The 14,532-nt window shown below is 47.2% G+C and overlaps 1 annotated feature.

Annotated features, from left to right (window-relative positions):
• Nucleotides 296-1,495: an enhancer, noted in NCBI's record as "BRD4-independent group 4 enhancer chr1:30042683-30043882 (GRCh37/hg19 assembly coordinates)". NCBI's record gives its function as "activates an origin of replication core promoter dependent on BRD2, P300/CBP, MED14 and CDK7 cofactors, and independent of BRD4, by STARR-seq in HCT116 cells {active_cell/tissue: HCT116}" and the evidence as "EXISTENCE:reporter gene assay evidence [ECO:0000049][PMID:35650434]".

Below are 14,532 nucleotides of genomic sequence, written 5' to 3'. Positions count from 1 at the left end.
CAAGGTAGATGCTATTATTATCTTCAACTCACACTGAGGAGACTGAGCTCAGAGAGGTTAAGTAACCTTCCTGAAGTCTCAGCAGGGAAGTGGAAGAGACCAGGGTTAGCCAAAGCCTGTGATCTAACCATTAGGTCACACTATGCCTGGGACTCAGGGATCATTAACGAAGACTGGGCCTCCTCCACTGGGGTTTGGAATCAGAATCTAAAATCTTGAGGAGAGGCCTGCAAAGATAAAAGGTCTGATGCTGTCCTGAGAGCAGAGAAGAGAGAGAACATGAAAGCTCTGGGTAGGAAATGGAGGGAAAGCCAGGAACCCAAACAGCCTGGGTGGGCTCCCTGCAGGGCCCAGGTGGCACAGGCCAGCACTGCTTGAGAGAGGCTGCATCCTCTGCCTGTGGGAGTGAAACCACCTTTGCAAAATTAAGACTGAGACAGTGAACGAGTTCTCACTTAATCGACTCCATCTTGCTTCTAACCTCCAAGCTGTCCTTGTTCATTCCCAGGCGTAGGCAGAACTAACTTTGGGAGAAACTTAGTTTATAGTTTATAGTTTAAAACAAAGACAATAACAGCCCTTTCCCATGGAGACCCCCTTCTTGCCTGGGGACTAGATTGCCTGTGTAGGACTAACCTTAGCCACAAGATTAGAAATTATGGTTTAGGAGTCATGCAGCTGGAAGCTACAAGATTCTGACCTTCCCTAAACTGCTCCTAAGATCAGTGCTTGAGATATTTTGCAGACCCTGCACTTGATGGATCAGCTGGCACCACCCAGATCAATAAACTGGCTCATCTGAACTTGTGGCCCCCGCCCAGGAACTGACTCAGTGCAGAAGGACAGCTTCCCCTCCCTGTGATTTCACCCCTGACCAATCAGCACTCCTGGCTCACTGGCTTCCTTCCACCCACCAAGTTATCCTTAAAAACTCCAAATGCTCAGGGGAGACTGATTTGAGTAATAACAAAACTCTGGTCTCCTGCACAGCTGGCTCTGGTTGAATTACTCTTTCTCTATTGCAATTCCCCTGCCTTGATGAATCGGCTCTGTCTATGCAGTGGGCAAGGTAAACTCCTTGGGTGTTTACAGGAGCCTGGGATGAGTCACTGCATAACTGTGGCAAGTGCTGTCCACCAAGTGGACACCTGTCAGGCACAGCCAGGGTGACCGACGGCCTACTCATTGGGCAAGGCTCTGACTCACCATCAGTACTAAATCCAGCAAAAGTTGATGACCCAGCATAGTCATTCTAATTGCCATGGTCATGACTAAGAATATTGTGTGACGGCAACAAATTCAGAAAGTCTGAAGTGGGCCCCAGAGTGGACCATGGATGGTTTACTGGACATGATTTAAAGGATAGCATTGGGGAAGTACCTGGAAGCCTCGGGGAGACTGAGGTTGGGGGAACTCAATGTCTACACCAGCAGTGGGTGAGAGTGTGCACTTCACAGGGTCACAGAAGGCTGCATTCACCAAGGGGGACTCAGAGGATGTTGAAACAAATTTGAATAACAAAATGTTATAATATTCAAAGATTCAAAATACAGGATATAAAGATACTAAAATAGCCAAAATCAAAGTGAGTTTCACAAAACAAGAATACAATTGGATGTTAGAATGGGACGATGTTGGACACTTAGAACATTTGCATCACAGACTCTTGAAAATAGGCTATGAACATCTTGCGCTCAGAGAAACCCAGGCAGTGTGAGGCCAGGGGGACTGAGGGGCTTGAGAAGAGACCAGGATCCAGGCCTGCCTGTCCTTCTGCCCTTCCATCCACCTAACTATCCATCTTACTTGGCCTGGAAAGACGACTCCAAGATCATCCAGACCAGGAGTCTGGTACAGAGGCTCTGGGAGCTGAAGAAGGAAGCATCAGAGCAAGAAGTGAACCAGGCCAATCTGGGTCCACTTACACTGCCTCCATGTCTCTCTGTTACTGCAATAGCCCCGTCGGCACCCTGACCACTGTGCAACATCATCGTGTATCTAACCCTGTCTCCCTGATGAAGCTGAGAAAACAGGGACCCTCCCTCCTTGCTTCTCTTTCCTTCCCTGGCCCTCAGCATGGGGCCCACATGTGACCAAGAGGCATAGATGTAAGTGGTTGGAAGGACATCCTCTCTGGGCAGATCAGTTCCCCTGCCAAGCCTTTGCACATATTGTCCCCAGGTGCCAGTGAGGCCCCACTCTCACTGCCTTCAGTCCTGCTCAACATCACCTGCTCAGCCAAGTTTTCTGTGATCCCCTTCAGGAGCTAATCCCCATCCATCATTTTCTCCTCCAGCCTATGTTGGGTTTCCTCACATGTTCATCACCATCCCCTGTAACTGCAGAATCAGCTCAAAGTGATTAACAATTGCTTAAGTTGTTACAGGTGTCACAGAGCTAAAATTGCCTGGGCATGCATAATGGGAAAAAGCTTTACCCTAATTGTTACCACCACCAGCCTGGCATCACCTGGGACTAGTTAAAAATGCCATCAAACTTGACCCACCCACCAGACCAGGGAGACAGGTTTGAGTGTCACTGCCTATCTCCTTGACAGTTGACATGCAATATTTTTTTCTTTTCTCAAAAGCTAGTGCCATAGTATTGGCTTCTGTGTGTGTCATGTAGTGAGCCAATTGTTCAATAACAATATTGGCGACCCAGATGGGACAAAACCTACCCAAAGCACTGTACCCTCTCGATGGGGTGCAGGCCCTCTTCACCAACCCTCAGTAGCTGTGTAGGCATTTGTCTAGAGGCTTGGCTGTGAGGTCCTTTCTTCTCTGTCATGGCACTCCAGGGTCCTTGGTGCTACTTTCACTTTTGAGAAAAGAAACAGCTTTTGGATCAGACATCTTTTGGGTAAGCAGCCTTGTTAATATGAGCTTATGTTTTACGTTGATTTGTTCTCATCATAAAGATTGTGGGCCACAGTCCCATCCTTTTGGTCCAGGATTGTGGATTAGAGTCCCACCCTTGTCAGGTTGTGGGTTAGAGTCCCACCCCAGGAAGATCTTGGTCAGGTTAGAGTCCTGGCTTTGGGTTAGAGATCCAAAGAATAAAGGCAATTCTAAAGCTCTATCCACTAAGGCACTCAGTTTGGTTTGGTTGTATTTTTGGCATAAGACTGTGCAGCTTTGGAGGTGGCTGAAATGGTTGTTGCTGCAGGGAGCTGCTTCCATATATTTAAATTGTTAGGGCCTAAAAGCTGAAAGTGCTTTGTTGGCCCTGTTCCCTGTTGGGATCTGCCCTGAGCAGCTCTGCCCTGAGCGGCTCTGCCCTGAGCTCATTAGTTCTATTGAAGAAATAGACTAAATAAAAAGCTACCTATATAAATGAAGTTGGTCTCCTTGTAAAATCCTATAGTGAGTTCCTATGATTCTGTTACTTTGGCATCTATTTTTTGGTCTTTGGTCTTCCTCTAGCACACCCAAACTCCTCCTTTAAGGTGTTTAAACTCTCTCTCTTTCTCCACTTTATGATGTGGATTGCAACTCTGTTTCCTCTGGGGCTCAGTGAGGGCTGTGCCATGTAGGACAAGTGGAGTTTGACTTGTTCCACTTTCAAAGGCATAATTTGAATCCAGCTGCCCTTTTAGAATGTTAAGTTTTGCCAGTTTTATGGCTAGAGTTTTAAAATCAAGGCTGTAGGGTCTTTGTGTCTGTCTATACATGTCTCTATATTGTCTATGGGACCAAATTGGCTTATATATAAAGGAGTATTCATAAATAAGTACAAATGCTTCTCAGATTCATATGATTTTAGATAAATAAAAATTTAAGATTCTTGACAAAATAGAAATGTCTTAAATTCAGACATTTTTGCCTGAGTCTTCTGGTCAGACAGGTTTATGTTGTCTCTGATAAATGTTTAAGTTCATAAAACTGTTGCTCATGTAGTACTTTTGATACTTCATGCCTTTATTAGGTCTTCTGATTATTTGGCAACTTGAGTCTGCTCTCTATCGAAGAGTCATTTTGAAATCTTTGACAAAATCTGTGATCCTATTTTGAGCAAGAGTTTTAAACCTTTGACATTTGTAAATTCTAAATTCAATCTTTATAACCTCAAACTAACTCTTTGTATATTAGGGCCCCTGGAAGTCCAGGAGAGACATAGTAGGCTTATTTCGTATGTTGGAATTGCGCAGGAAACATTTGGGTTATATTTGTATGACTTTGTTCTTCTTCATCTGCAATCTCCCGCAATGCCTCTACTGTATGCCAGGTGCTATTAAAGGCGATCAGAAAGAGCATAAGACTCCCTCCCCAAAGTTGGAGGCTCAGCTTTATGCCTCCCTTTACCCACCAATCAGGTAGGAGGGGTCTCCCTTCCACATACCCATCAGGTTACCCAATTTGGCATAGGGAATGCTCTCCCTCAGTTCCCCCTTAGCAGGGCAATTCCCACTAAGACCAGTCCCTGTGGGCCTCAATGAACAAGGGGATTGTTATATATGAGCATTCCCCTTTTTCAACTTCAGATTTATACAATTGGAAAAATAATATGCCTGCCTAATGGGATGATCCCCAAAAGATGAAAAGTTTATTTACATTCACCTTTGCTACTTATAACTCCACTTAGGCTGGCATTCAGGTGTTTACAAACATCCTCCTTACTCTGGAGGAACATAGGATGATACTGGAAAAGGACTGTCAGGATGCCAAGAGGCTTCATTAATTATAACCTAAGAATCCAATCAGAGCCCCAGCAATGCAGGCCAAACCTGGGGCCAAGCCAGGCTGTAACCCCAGTGACCCCAGAGACCAGACAAAGTTAAACCATTATAAAGAATGTTTAATAACTGGAACACAGAAGAAGGTCCAAAAACTGAAGGGCCTAAATAAGGTCCAGGAGGTACAAGAGGGGCCAAAGGAAAATTCCTCTGCCTTTCTTGAGTGGGTTTTTGAAGCCTACAGACAGTATGCTGACATTGAACCAGAACACCTGGAAAACATGAGACTGGTTAATATTACTTTTATCAGTCAGTGTGCTCCTGACAAAGAGTAGAGGGGGAATTAGGGATTCCACTGTCCATTGCTTCACAGGAGTATCCAAGAGAGAGAATACAGTCATGGGTTCTTTCTTTCTGTTTCTGGGTGGGCCAGTAAAACCCCTTCCTCACCTCTCTTTTCCACTTATTGCTAGAGACAGAAACTAAAAACATGGCTTCAAGCTGCTAAAAGTGTAAAATAAAACAAGACAGAACAAAACAAAATCAGGTGGGTTGGACAAGCCTGTCTCTAAAGTATCTAATAGCCATGACCAAGTCCAGGAAAAGCAGAAACAGTATGACACAAAACAAGCTGCACTGTTTGCTGTAGCTTTCACCTGTGATCAATCAAGACCCAGTAAGATGCTTGCTGGGGTAAACACAACCACAGTTAAGACCTTCCCCACCAGACCCCACCACTTAGCCAGAAGAGCCATCCATCATTAGGGTCACAACAGTGTACATATTGTAAACAAGAATATTGCAAGTGGGAATGCCCTAACCTCCCCTGATGGGAGAGGAAGGAACTTCCCACAAATTAATCTACTAGATACCACAGCTTGCTGATAGCAACCAAAGATGATGGGACCCAGGGGCTCCTATAGACTCTGTTAGCTCTATCAACACTTCGCACAAGGAACCTCTGGTAACAGTCACTGTGGGAAAGACTCATACCCTTTTTAATTGACACTGGGGCTACATATTCTGTACTAAACATCAGACAGGGACCCTTCTCCCCAAAGACTATGGCAATTACTGTTATATGTGGCAAAACCTCCCACAAGTCCTTCCTTCAACTGATCAAATGCACCCTTCAGTTCTGACTCCCAAAAACTGTTGCCTTTGAATGGGATGATCCAGAAATTAATGTAAAACAACAATATTGGACAGTACTTCTACAAGATTTCAAAAATGCCCCCACCATCTTTGGGGAAGCTTTAGCTAAGGACTTGAGAGAATATTTCTCCAATATATAGATGATATCCTGATTTCCAGTAAAACTAAAGAAACCTCAGATCAAAACACAATTCTGACCCTAAATTTTCTGGCAGACCACGAATACAAAGTTCCTAAGAAAAAGGCACAAATTACACAGTCAACATTAAAGTATCTGGTGTTTGAGCTATCTAAAGGGCAAAGAACCTTGTTACCAGATTGAAGGGAGGCCCTAGCTAGAGTGGCTTTACCCACTACCAGAAAACAATTATGAGGGTTCTTGGGAATTACTAGGTTCTGTTGTATCTGGATTCCCCACTTTTGACTTATAAGAAGTCCAAAGCCCTTATATCAAGCCCCCAAAGAAAATGATAATGAGCCATTTAATTGGACTACAGAATGTCATAGGACATTCTGAAACATAAAGGAAAGGCTCCTAACAACCCTGTCCTTTCATCTCCCAAATATAAGAAAGCCATTTGATCTTTTGGTACATGAACAGCAATGTATAAGTCTTTGAGTACTGACACAAAATTTAGATAACACCAAGAGTGCTGGTGTAAACTTTTCTAAACAACATACTAACCCAAGGGTAGCCAGTTTGTCTTCGAGCAGTAGCTGTAACCTGTGGTCTCTTACAAGAAGCTGAAAAATCTACTTTGGGCCAGCCTACCACAGAGCACACCCTGCACTATGTACTGCCCCTCTTTGAACAAAAAGCAGGATATTACCTTACATCTGCAAGAGTAAGGAAATACCAGGCTAGTCTACTAGACAACCCAAATATAAATTTTAAGGTAGTGTTCACACTAAACCTAGCCACCATACTTCCAAGTACTGTAGAAGAAACTGTTCGTGATTGTATACAAATAATTGAAGCTTATTCTAGCAGACCTCATTTGACTAATCAGCCTTTGGAAGACCTAAACCTGGAGATGTTTATAGATGGGAGCAACTTCTTGAACTGAAGACTCTAAAAAGCTGAATATGTAATTGTGACTCTCCAGGAAGTCTTAGAAACTGAGGCTCTCCCACCAGCTACCTCTGCACATAACTTGCAACCTTGGGACAAAGTAAAAGGTAACTATTTATACTGACTCCAAATATGCTTTTGTGGTAGTGCATGCACATGAAGTCACCTGGAAGGGAGAGGCTTTCTGAATTCAGGGGGAAGAAAGGAAATCATGAAACCAACTTAACCTGGGATAAAGTCTTGCCTATTGCCCTGCTTAGTGTAAGATTAGCCCCCAGAAGCAAGCCCCAATTGAGCCCTTCCTCAAAAGTGAATTTTTTTATAATTCCAAAAATAGTCATATTATAAAAGAATTAGGTACTACAAAATACGTACAGTCTCTGCATGCAACTTTATCTGTTATACATAAGTATGCTTCTAGCTGTTTAACATTTCCTGCAGATGTTTCTTTACACTGTCTAAGCCCAGGAGACTGAGTACCAATTACAGCCCAAATGAAATGGACTCAATGAAGTTCTTCTGGTGACCCATCCATCCGTAAAGTAGTTAAGCCCTGTGTTCACCATTCACAAGTAAAGATAGTACCTGTTAGTAGTCAAGACTCTCCTCACCCCCTTCATAATCTCCACACAGGCTACACTTATCACAAACAACAGGAAACAGGAAGCAGGATGGCTGAGTCATCCAAACACCATATGGCTATGACCTACAGATGGCATGGCCTACAGATGATTTCTCCAGGCAGGAATACGCTTGCGAACTCCTAACAAAGTAACTCCTAAAGTTACTTTTCAGAAAAAAAAAAAATAGGACTTAAAGAGCTCCTGGATCTCTCGATAATGAGAAGTCATTCTTGTTTCTAAAACCAGACTCCACCTGATCAGATGGGGAGGCCAGAAGCAGATGGTAACTGAAGGAGACAGCTTACCCAAGATACCAGACCAGGCCTGTATTAATGCCATCAGGAATAAGATCTATTTTTGAGAGTCTGCTTATGTTAGGAATTATAGTTCTATGTGTGCTGAGATTTCTTTTCATTCTTGTCAAGGTACAGATGGTGCAGAGCTGTCTCATATTTCGATACCCCCTGTTCATTCCTCAAACCCACACCTGTGCCCCTTGAAAGCGGGAAGTAGCTAGAATGGTCATCACCCCATTTCTCTCAAGAGTGAGGAACGTACAACAAAAAGGGAGGGGGGACTTGGAACAGCAGGACCAGCTGAAACCCATTAACCATTGTCTTGTTATAGGTGATAAAGAGCCAAAAATTGTCTGGGCATGTATAATGGGAAAAAAACTTTAATCTGATTGTTAACACCACCAGCCTGGCAGATTGGCTGCATTGGCATCATCTGGGGCTAGTTAGAAATGCCATAAAAGCTTGGCCCACCCCCAGATCAGGGAGACAAACTTGAGCATTGCCTCCTGTCTCCTTGCCAGTTGACTCACAACAAAGCTTTTTTCTTTTCTAAAAAGCCAGTGCCATAGTATTGGCTTCTGTGCTCATCAAGCAGCAAGCCCATTGCTTGGTAACACCTCCATCCATCACTCTCTCCCCCTGCTCATGCTGGGTTTCCTCACATGCTCATCATCCTCCCCCGATCCATCACTAACTCCTCCTGCCCATATTTGGTTTCCTTGGGTGTTCATCATCATCCAGCATCTATCAGTTTTTCTGTCTTTCCTCCCAGTATGCCAGCCCCATGAGGGCGAGAACTTGCTTTTGTTCATGGATGCATCCCCAGTGCCTAGAACAAAGCCTGGCACACAGTAGGCACTCAGCAATTATTGGGTGACTGATTGAGTGAGTGAATGGACCTCAGTTTCTCCATCTGTAAAATAGAGATTTTGCTCCCCATGGTCTTCAGGGTCTCTCCCAAGTCCCTCCCACAAGGTCAGATATGTAGCCCATCCCTCTGAGAAGCCAGGAGTGTCAGAAAGGCTGGGAAGGACAGTGATGGGTCAGTCAGGTCGTCATCGGTCCCACAACACCAACAGTCAAGTCCTCCTTAGCAGGTCTGGGCTGCAGGTCGTGTGTCCCACTTAGTGCCCAAGCTCACATTATGGTGCTGGTGAGGAGTCTCAAGTAGTTATTAAACTGTGTGTCTGCAGGTATACAATTTTGGAAGTGGGTTTTGCATATTTTGATAAATGTATAAATATGAAATTTATTATCCATCACTGTCATACGCTTATGTTCTATGTTAAATGTATATAATGTATACTTCCCTAAAGCATGAGAGTTGCCAATTCTTGACCAAGACACAGTGACACTATTGACCACACAGAGTATGTTTATTCCTTAACTTGGAGGAGGGCAGCCAGGATGGTGGGCAAATCTCTCCATGCCACAGGAAGGCCTGGGGCCCTGGAGCTCCAAAAGGGACAGAGAACAGGGTTGGGAGAGTGATCAGCCCAGTCACTGGCCTGGGCCCAGGTGACATCAGCAGGGCAGGAAGGGGGTCACCTGGGCACTTACCTGTGCCAGCTCCACCCAGGGCCCTGCACTGGGTCAGAGCACAGTGGCTGGAATCTGAGCACCCTGGAGCCCCACCTGCCCTCATTCCACCTGGATTCACCTCCCTGAGCCTCAGTTTCCTCTGATGTAAAATGGGGATGAAAACAGCTCCCTCCTTAGGGTGGCTGTGAGGATTAAGTGAGCAAGTGCAAGTACAGGGTGCCCAGCATGCATAGGAAGTACACGAACCTATGAACTGATATTCCTGCTGTTGTCACCCCAAGGGCTGCTACAGAGAGGGCAACTTGGGCCCACTTTACAGATGGGCCTCATCCCTGCATCCTGCAATAGCTGACAGGTGTTAACACCCCCATGAGCCGGGCACCTGCATACATGACCCATGTCACCTGCATGACCTTGCACGACCTCCCTATGCAGCAGGTGCCATCATGGTCCCTGCTCCACAAGGGAAAATGTCAAGTACCTCCCAGATCACACAGCCCACAGGGGTGGAGGCTTAGAACAGGGCTTTCTGTCCCCAGGGCCAGGCTTGACCCCCACTCCAGACTCCACACTATCAGGAACACTCGTCAGTAAACCCTGACAAGAAGGTGGGGGACAAGTGGGGTTGCCCCTAGTGACCCCACCCCTCCCTCCTTCGCTCACAGAACCCTGGGTTTGTTCTGCAGCTACAGGCTCAGGCCTGGGGGTCCTCCAGCCCTGGGGTGAAGCTGAGCCAAGCACCCCATCCCCCTTCTCCAGAGATTGTTTTAGGGGTGAGCACACGACCCAGACCTCACCATTGAGGTATGAGGGGAAATCTGTTGGTGGAGGGAGTGCTCCTGGGAAATATTTTTTCTGCCTCACCCTGCAACCTTCTCAACTTGAATGCTGTAGTGTGAGACATGATGTTTGGAGCTATAGCAGCCATCTTGCAACCATGAGGCAACAAGCTAAGGACAAAAAGTCAATATAGCCAAGGATGGTAAAGATGGAAGAGAGAAAGTGCCTGGGTCTTTGACATCCCTGAGCATCTGACAAAGCTGGAACCACCTCCCTCCAAACATCTGGGTACAGCAAAGCATTTCATTTTCCAATTGTTTGAGCCACTGTTGAGTTTTTTTTTTTTTTTACTTGCTGCTCAAAATATCTAAACTGCAGGCAGCACAGCAATCTGTATAAAACACACAGCTATTGTATTTTTCTACCAGTGAGTCCCCCTCACCAATCCTTGAACCTTTAGAGAGCAGAAGTTGTATCTTGCTAATCTCTGTACCTGCTCTGCCTCAGGAGCTAAGACAGGGCTTGGCGCGTAGTCAACCCAATTCCATTTGTTGGGTAGCATGAATAAATGATGAGCAAATACACTATTGAATAAAGTGATGGATGAGCATAAGGAAAGTGAAAGTGCTTTGTAAACTGTAAAGTGCTGAGCCCAAATGCAGGCCTCACATCCTCAGCAAGGATGACGGTGCTGTCATCCTCCTAGACATCCCTCCTGCTCACACAAACCTCAGGCCTGTAAAATCCCAGCTACCCTTTCGTGCCCCTTCTTCAATTCTTGCTGGCATTGACAATGAGCACCTCCTTCCCTTCCTCAAACAGACATTAAAAGGCAAGGCTTTGTGTGCTATCATTTCCTCCCTAAAAGGTTGTCATGAGAAGCCGAATGGTCATCATTATGCCAGCTGAAATTCTTTGCCATGTTATTTAAGAGATGGAGGACAGGGCACCAGGAGAGGGGGCAGTCAGGAGAAGTGGGAAAAAAACCTTTCAGGGTGAAAAGGCTTTAAAATCTCAGCTCTGGGTCTCACAGGAAGACTGGATTAAAGGATCATTTCAAATGAATTTTGCCATCAGAGTGAAAGATCTGTTCCCCCAAAATGCTTCACTTTGACAGTTGGCTTCATGGGGTTTGGCAGAATTCATTTTGTAAGCAGACAAGATCAAGGAATAAAACAAAACACATCCAGCCATGAGAACTCTGTTAACCACTTGACATAATTGTGTTTCATCCAAAGTTAGGTTTTTGGCAAAACTGAAAAGTCATTCTCGTTCCACTGGCATCCCACATTTGTGGTGTCTGGGAAAAGTCCTGGTGTCGGGGAGTCAACAGGCAGACAGGGGCTGGGGTGAACATGGCCGCTGCCTAGGCCCTCCCTCCGTTGCCCCCATCCTTGGAGTTGGTGAGGGAAGCTGAACGGAGACGGCTCTAGGCTGATATCTCTTCCTGGGCAGAGCTCCCCAGGGCCAGCAGCCCATTCCTCCCACCCCACACCTATCTCTGCACCAGAGGATGGATTTCGGGGCAGACATTGATTCTTCACTCTAGTCCTGGCTGCCTGGACCAACATCCCCTATGACATACACACTTTCAGCATCACTGTGGCAGGGGGTGTGTCAAGTGAGGCCACAGGTCTTGCACCAGCCTCTCCACCATGGCATCTCCAGGCCCTTTCAATGGGTGATTTACAAGCCAGATATATAGATTTGTATTTGCTGCACCAAGATCAATTTAATGCTCCCCAACTAACATTTTTGTACTTGAACAGCTAGCTCCTTGCCCTCCAAAAGATCTAACTGTTCTCTCTTGTCAATCCCCCAGCAGCTGCAATGTCCAACCTGCCTATCTACCTCCTACCCCCCACCCACCTCCACCCACCATGCCCACATCCTATCTCCCTTCCCACCTCCTATCCCCTGCCCACCTCCTATCCCCTGCCTACCTCCAACTGCCTATCCACCTCCTACCGCACTGCCCACCTCCTAACTCCTGCCCACCTCCTACCTGCGTGTCCACCAACTATCAGCCTGGCTACCTGCTGACCAACATGCAGAGTGACTGTGTATTCGTTTACTCATTCATGCAGTGATTAATTTTTATGGAACATACTGAGATGAATAAAATAAAACTCTCATGTCCTCTGAAAGTTTATAACCTGTTTCTTACACTAATGCATCCAGTCTGAAGGCCAGAGTGAAGGAATTGGGTTAGACCACATGAAGACCTTCTGGACAGGAATGAGTTGGGCCTTGGGGAAGGGACATCACAGTGCAAATATTTGGGGCACAGATTCTGCAGGCAACAGGCCCGAGACTGAATCTTAGGTTCACAGTTCACAGGCAAGTAACAACCTCACTGAGCTTCAGCTTCCCCGTCTGAAAAGCGGCAGTCACAGCATCTGCCCTAGAGGTGCTCATCAGGGTTCAATGAGATACAAAATGGGAAGAGTCGAGCTCAGCGCTTGGCTCAAGGCAAGCACTCGATTCTGAGCAGACTGTACTTTTTTGGAGACAGGAGTACTTTTGGGAAACAGCCAGGCAGGTCTGGGTTCAAATCCCAACTCTGCTACTTATTGCCTCATTCAACCTCTCTGAGCCCCAGGTTTCGTCTGTGAAATGGGAGAAAATGCAGCCTAACTCGGGATGGGCTTGGGGAGGAAATGAAGAGGGAGGGGAGGGAATCAGACCCTACGTGCCAAGCCCGGCACACCTGCCACACAAAGTAACTGCTGGGTTCTCCCTCCCCCTCCTCCACTCTGGTGTTGGGAAAGAATGGAGGGTGGGGTTGGGAAATCTGCAGAGAACAACCTCCTCCCAGTATTTGCTGCCTTAGTTCCCTGCCAAGGGTTGCCCAGACTCTGGAGGCCCCTGTAGTGATGGGGAGCTCACCACCTCCTGGACTGGGCAGCAAGAATCACAGGGCTGACCAAAGAGGATGAGACCAGGAGCCCTGAACAACTGCAGCCTCGGCCACGGTGCAACTTCCAGGCCCCAGCCCCTGCAAGGCGCACCCTGAAAGGGGCTCCAGCATCACAGGAGCAGTTTCCTCAAGGACCACTAGCTGCTATGGGAGAGAGAGTCTGTGTGTTAGAAAGCATTAAATAGCAAAATACTATTCACAAAAAGGAAAAGATCCATTTATCAACTCTTTGAACTATCTAAAAATATATATATACTGTAAAGTCAGCTCGCCCTGTAGGTGTTGATTCAGGAGGCTGGGCAGCTGTTGGCCTCTGGCTGCCCGGGCAGAACCTCGGAGAGCTGTGGCCCGGGACACTCGGCAGCCATCCCCAGGCCACACAGCGTGGGTGGGGAACCCCTTCTCCAGGAGCTCCGTCCCTCTTGCCGTATGGCCTTGGAAAGTCAAGCTCCCTCTCTGGGCCCTAAGGAGTGGGTCCAGGGAACAAAGAGTGCAGGTGGGGTCGGGGTGGGGACAGGGTGGATACAGGGGGGTATGAAAAAGACACCAGACAAAAGAGGCAAGAAGAAACCTCTCTTGCACCTGAGAGGCTGAGGCAGGGAAAGGCCTCAGTGAGTGTCACCCCCAAACCTGGCTCCCCTGGCCCTGGCTGTGCTGGAGCCTTCACCTTCTACCAGGAAACCTCTGGATTGTCCCCACCTTTTCCAACTTCCACCAAGTCCCACACATCTCCACCTGGCCCCAGGGACCACACTCAGGCCCTAAATTCCCCTCCCTTCTTCCCTCTCTCCCTCCCAGGTGCCTTTGCTCACACTGTCCCCAGGCCATGGAGCTAACCTCCTCCACATTTCCCAGAGCTCCCTCCTCAGGGAAGCCCTCTCCGCCTTCCTGACAAGGTCAGATTCCAGCCCAGGCTCCCAGAACCCTGGGAACCATGTCTCAAGGCACTGATCCCAGGGGAGGTCCCCAGTTATTTGGTGACCAGCTGTGCCCCCACAGGGATGTGAGCTCTGGGCTGGGGCTGTCATCTGTTTGTTCATGGCTGTAGCCGCTAGAATGGTGCCAAGCACATCACGGAAGCTCAGTGAACACTGGTAGGAGGAGGGCAGGGAGGGAGGAGTGAAGGGCAACTAAAGAACGAACACAGTGACATGCGATGAAAGGAGGCAGGGCCTGGGAGACTCAGAGACTTGGGGACACATCTGCAGCTATGAGCCCCTGAGGCCGCATCAGGGACACAGATGACACTCACTCTGTGAAGCCCCAGGTAGAGTCTGAGCAACAGGAGTGACAGGAGGGACACTGTCTCCCTCATGGCTCCCTCTCAAGGCTGCTGTCTGCAGAAGGACCTGACGCTCTGACCACAGCCCTCCCCTGCCCCACAACCATCCATGGCTCCCAGCATCGGCCTGACAAAGTCCAAACTCAGGTCCACTGTGGTCTTGCCGCACCTGCCTTCCCTGCCCTGC

Source organism: Homo sapiens, chromosome 1, assembly GCF_000001405.40.
Source record: "Homo sapiens chromosome 1, GRCh38.p14 Primary Assembly".
Taxonomy (NCBI): domain Eukaryota; kingdom Metazoa; phylum Chordata; class Mammalia; order Primates; family Hominidae; genus Homo; species Homo sapiens.
Note: the sequence above shows the minus strand (reverse complement) of the source record. Positions and strands in the feature narration are given on the sequence as shown.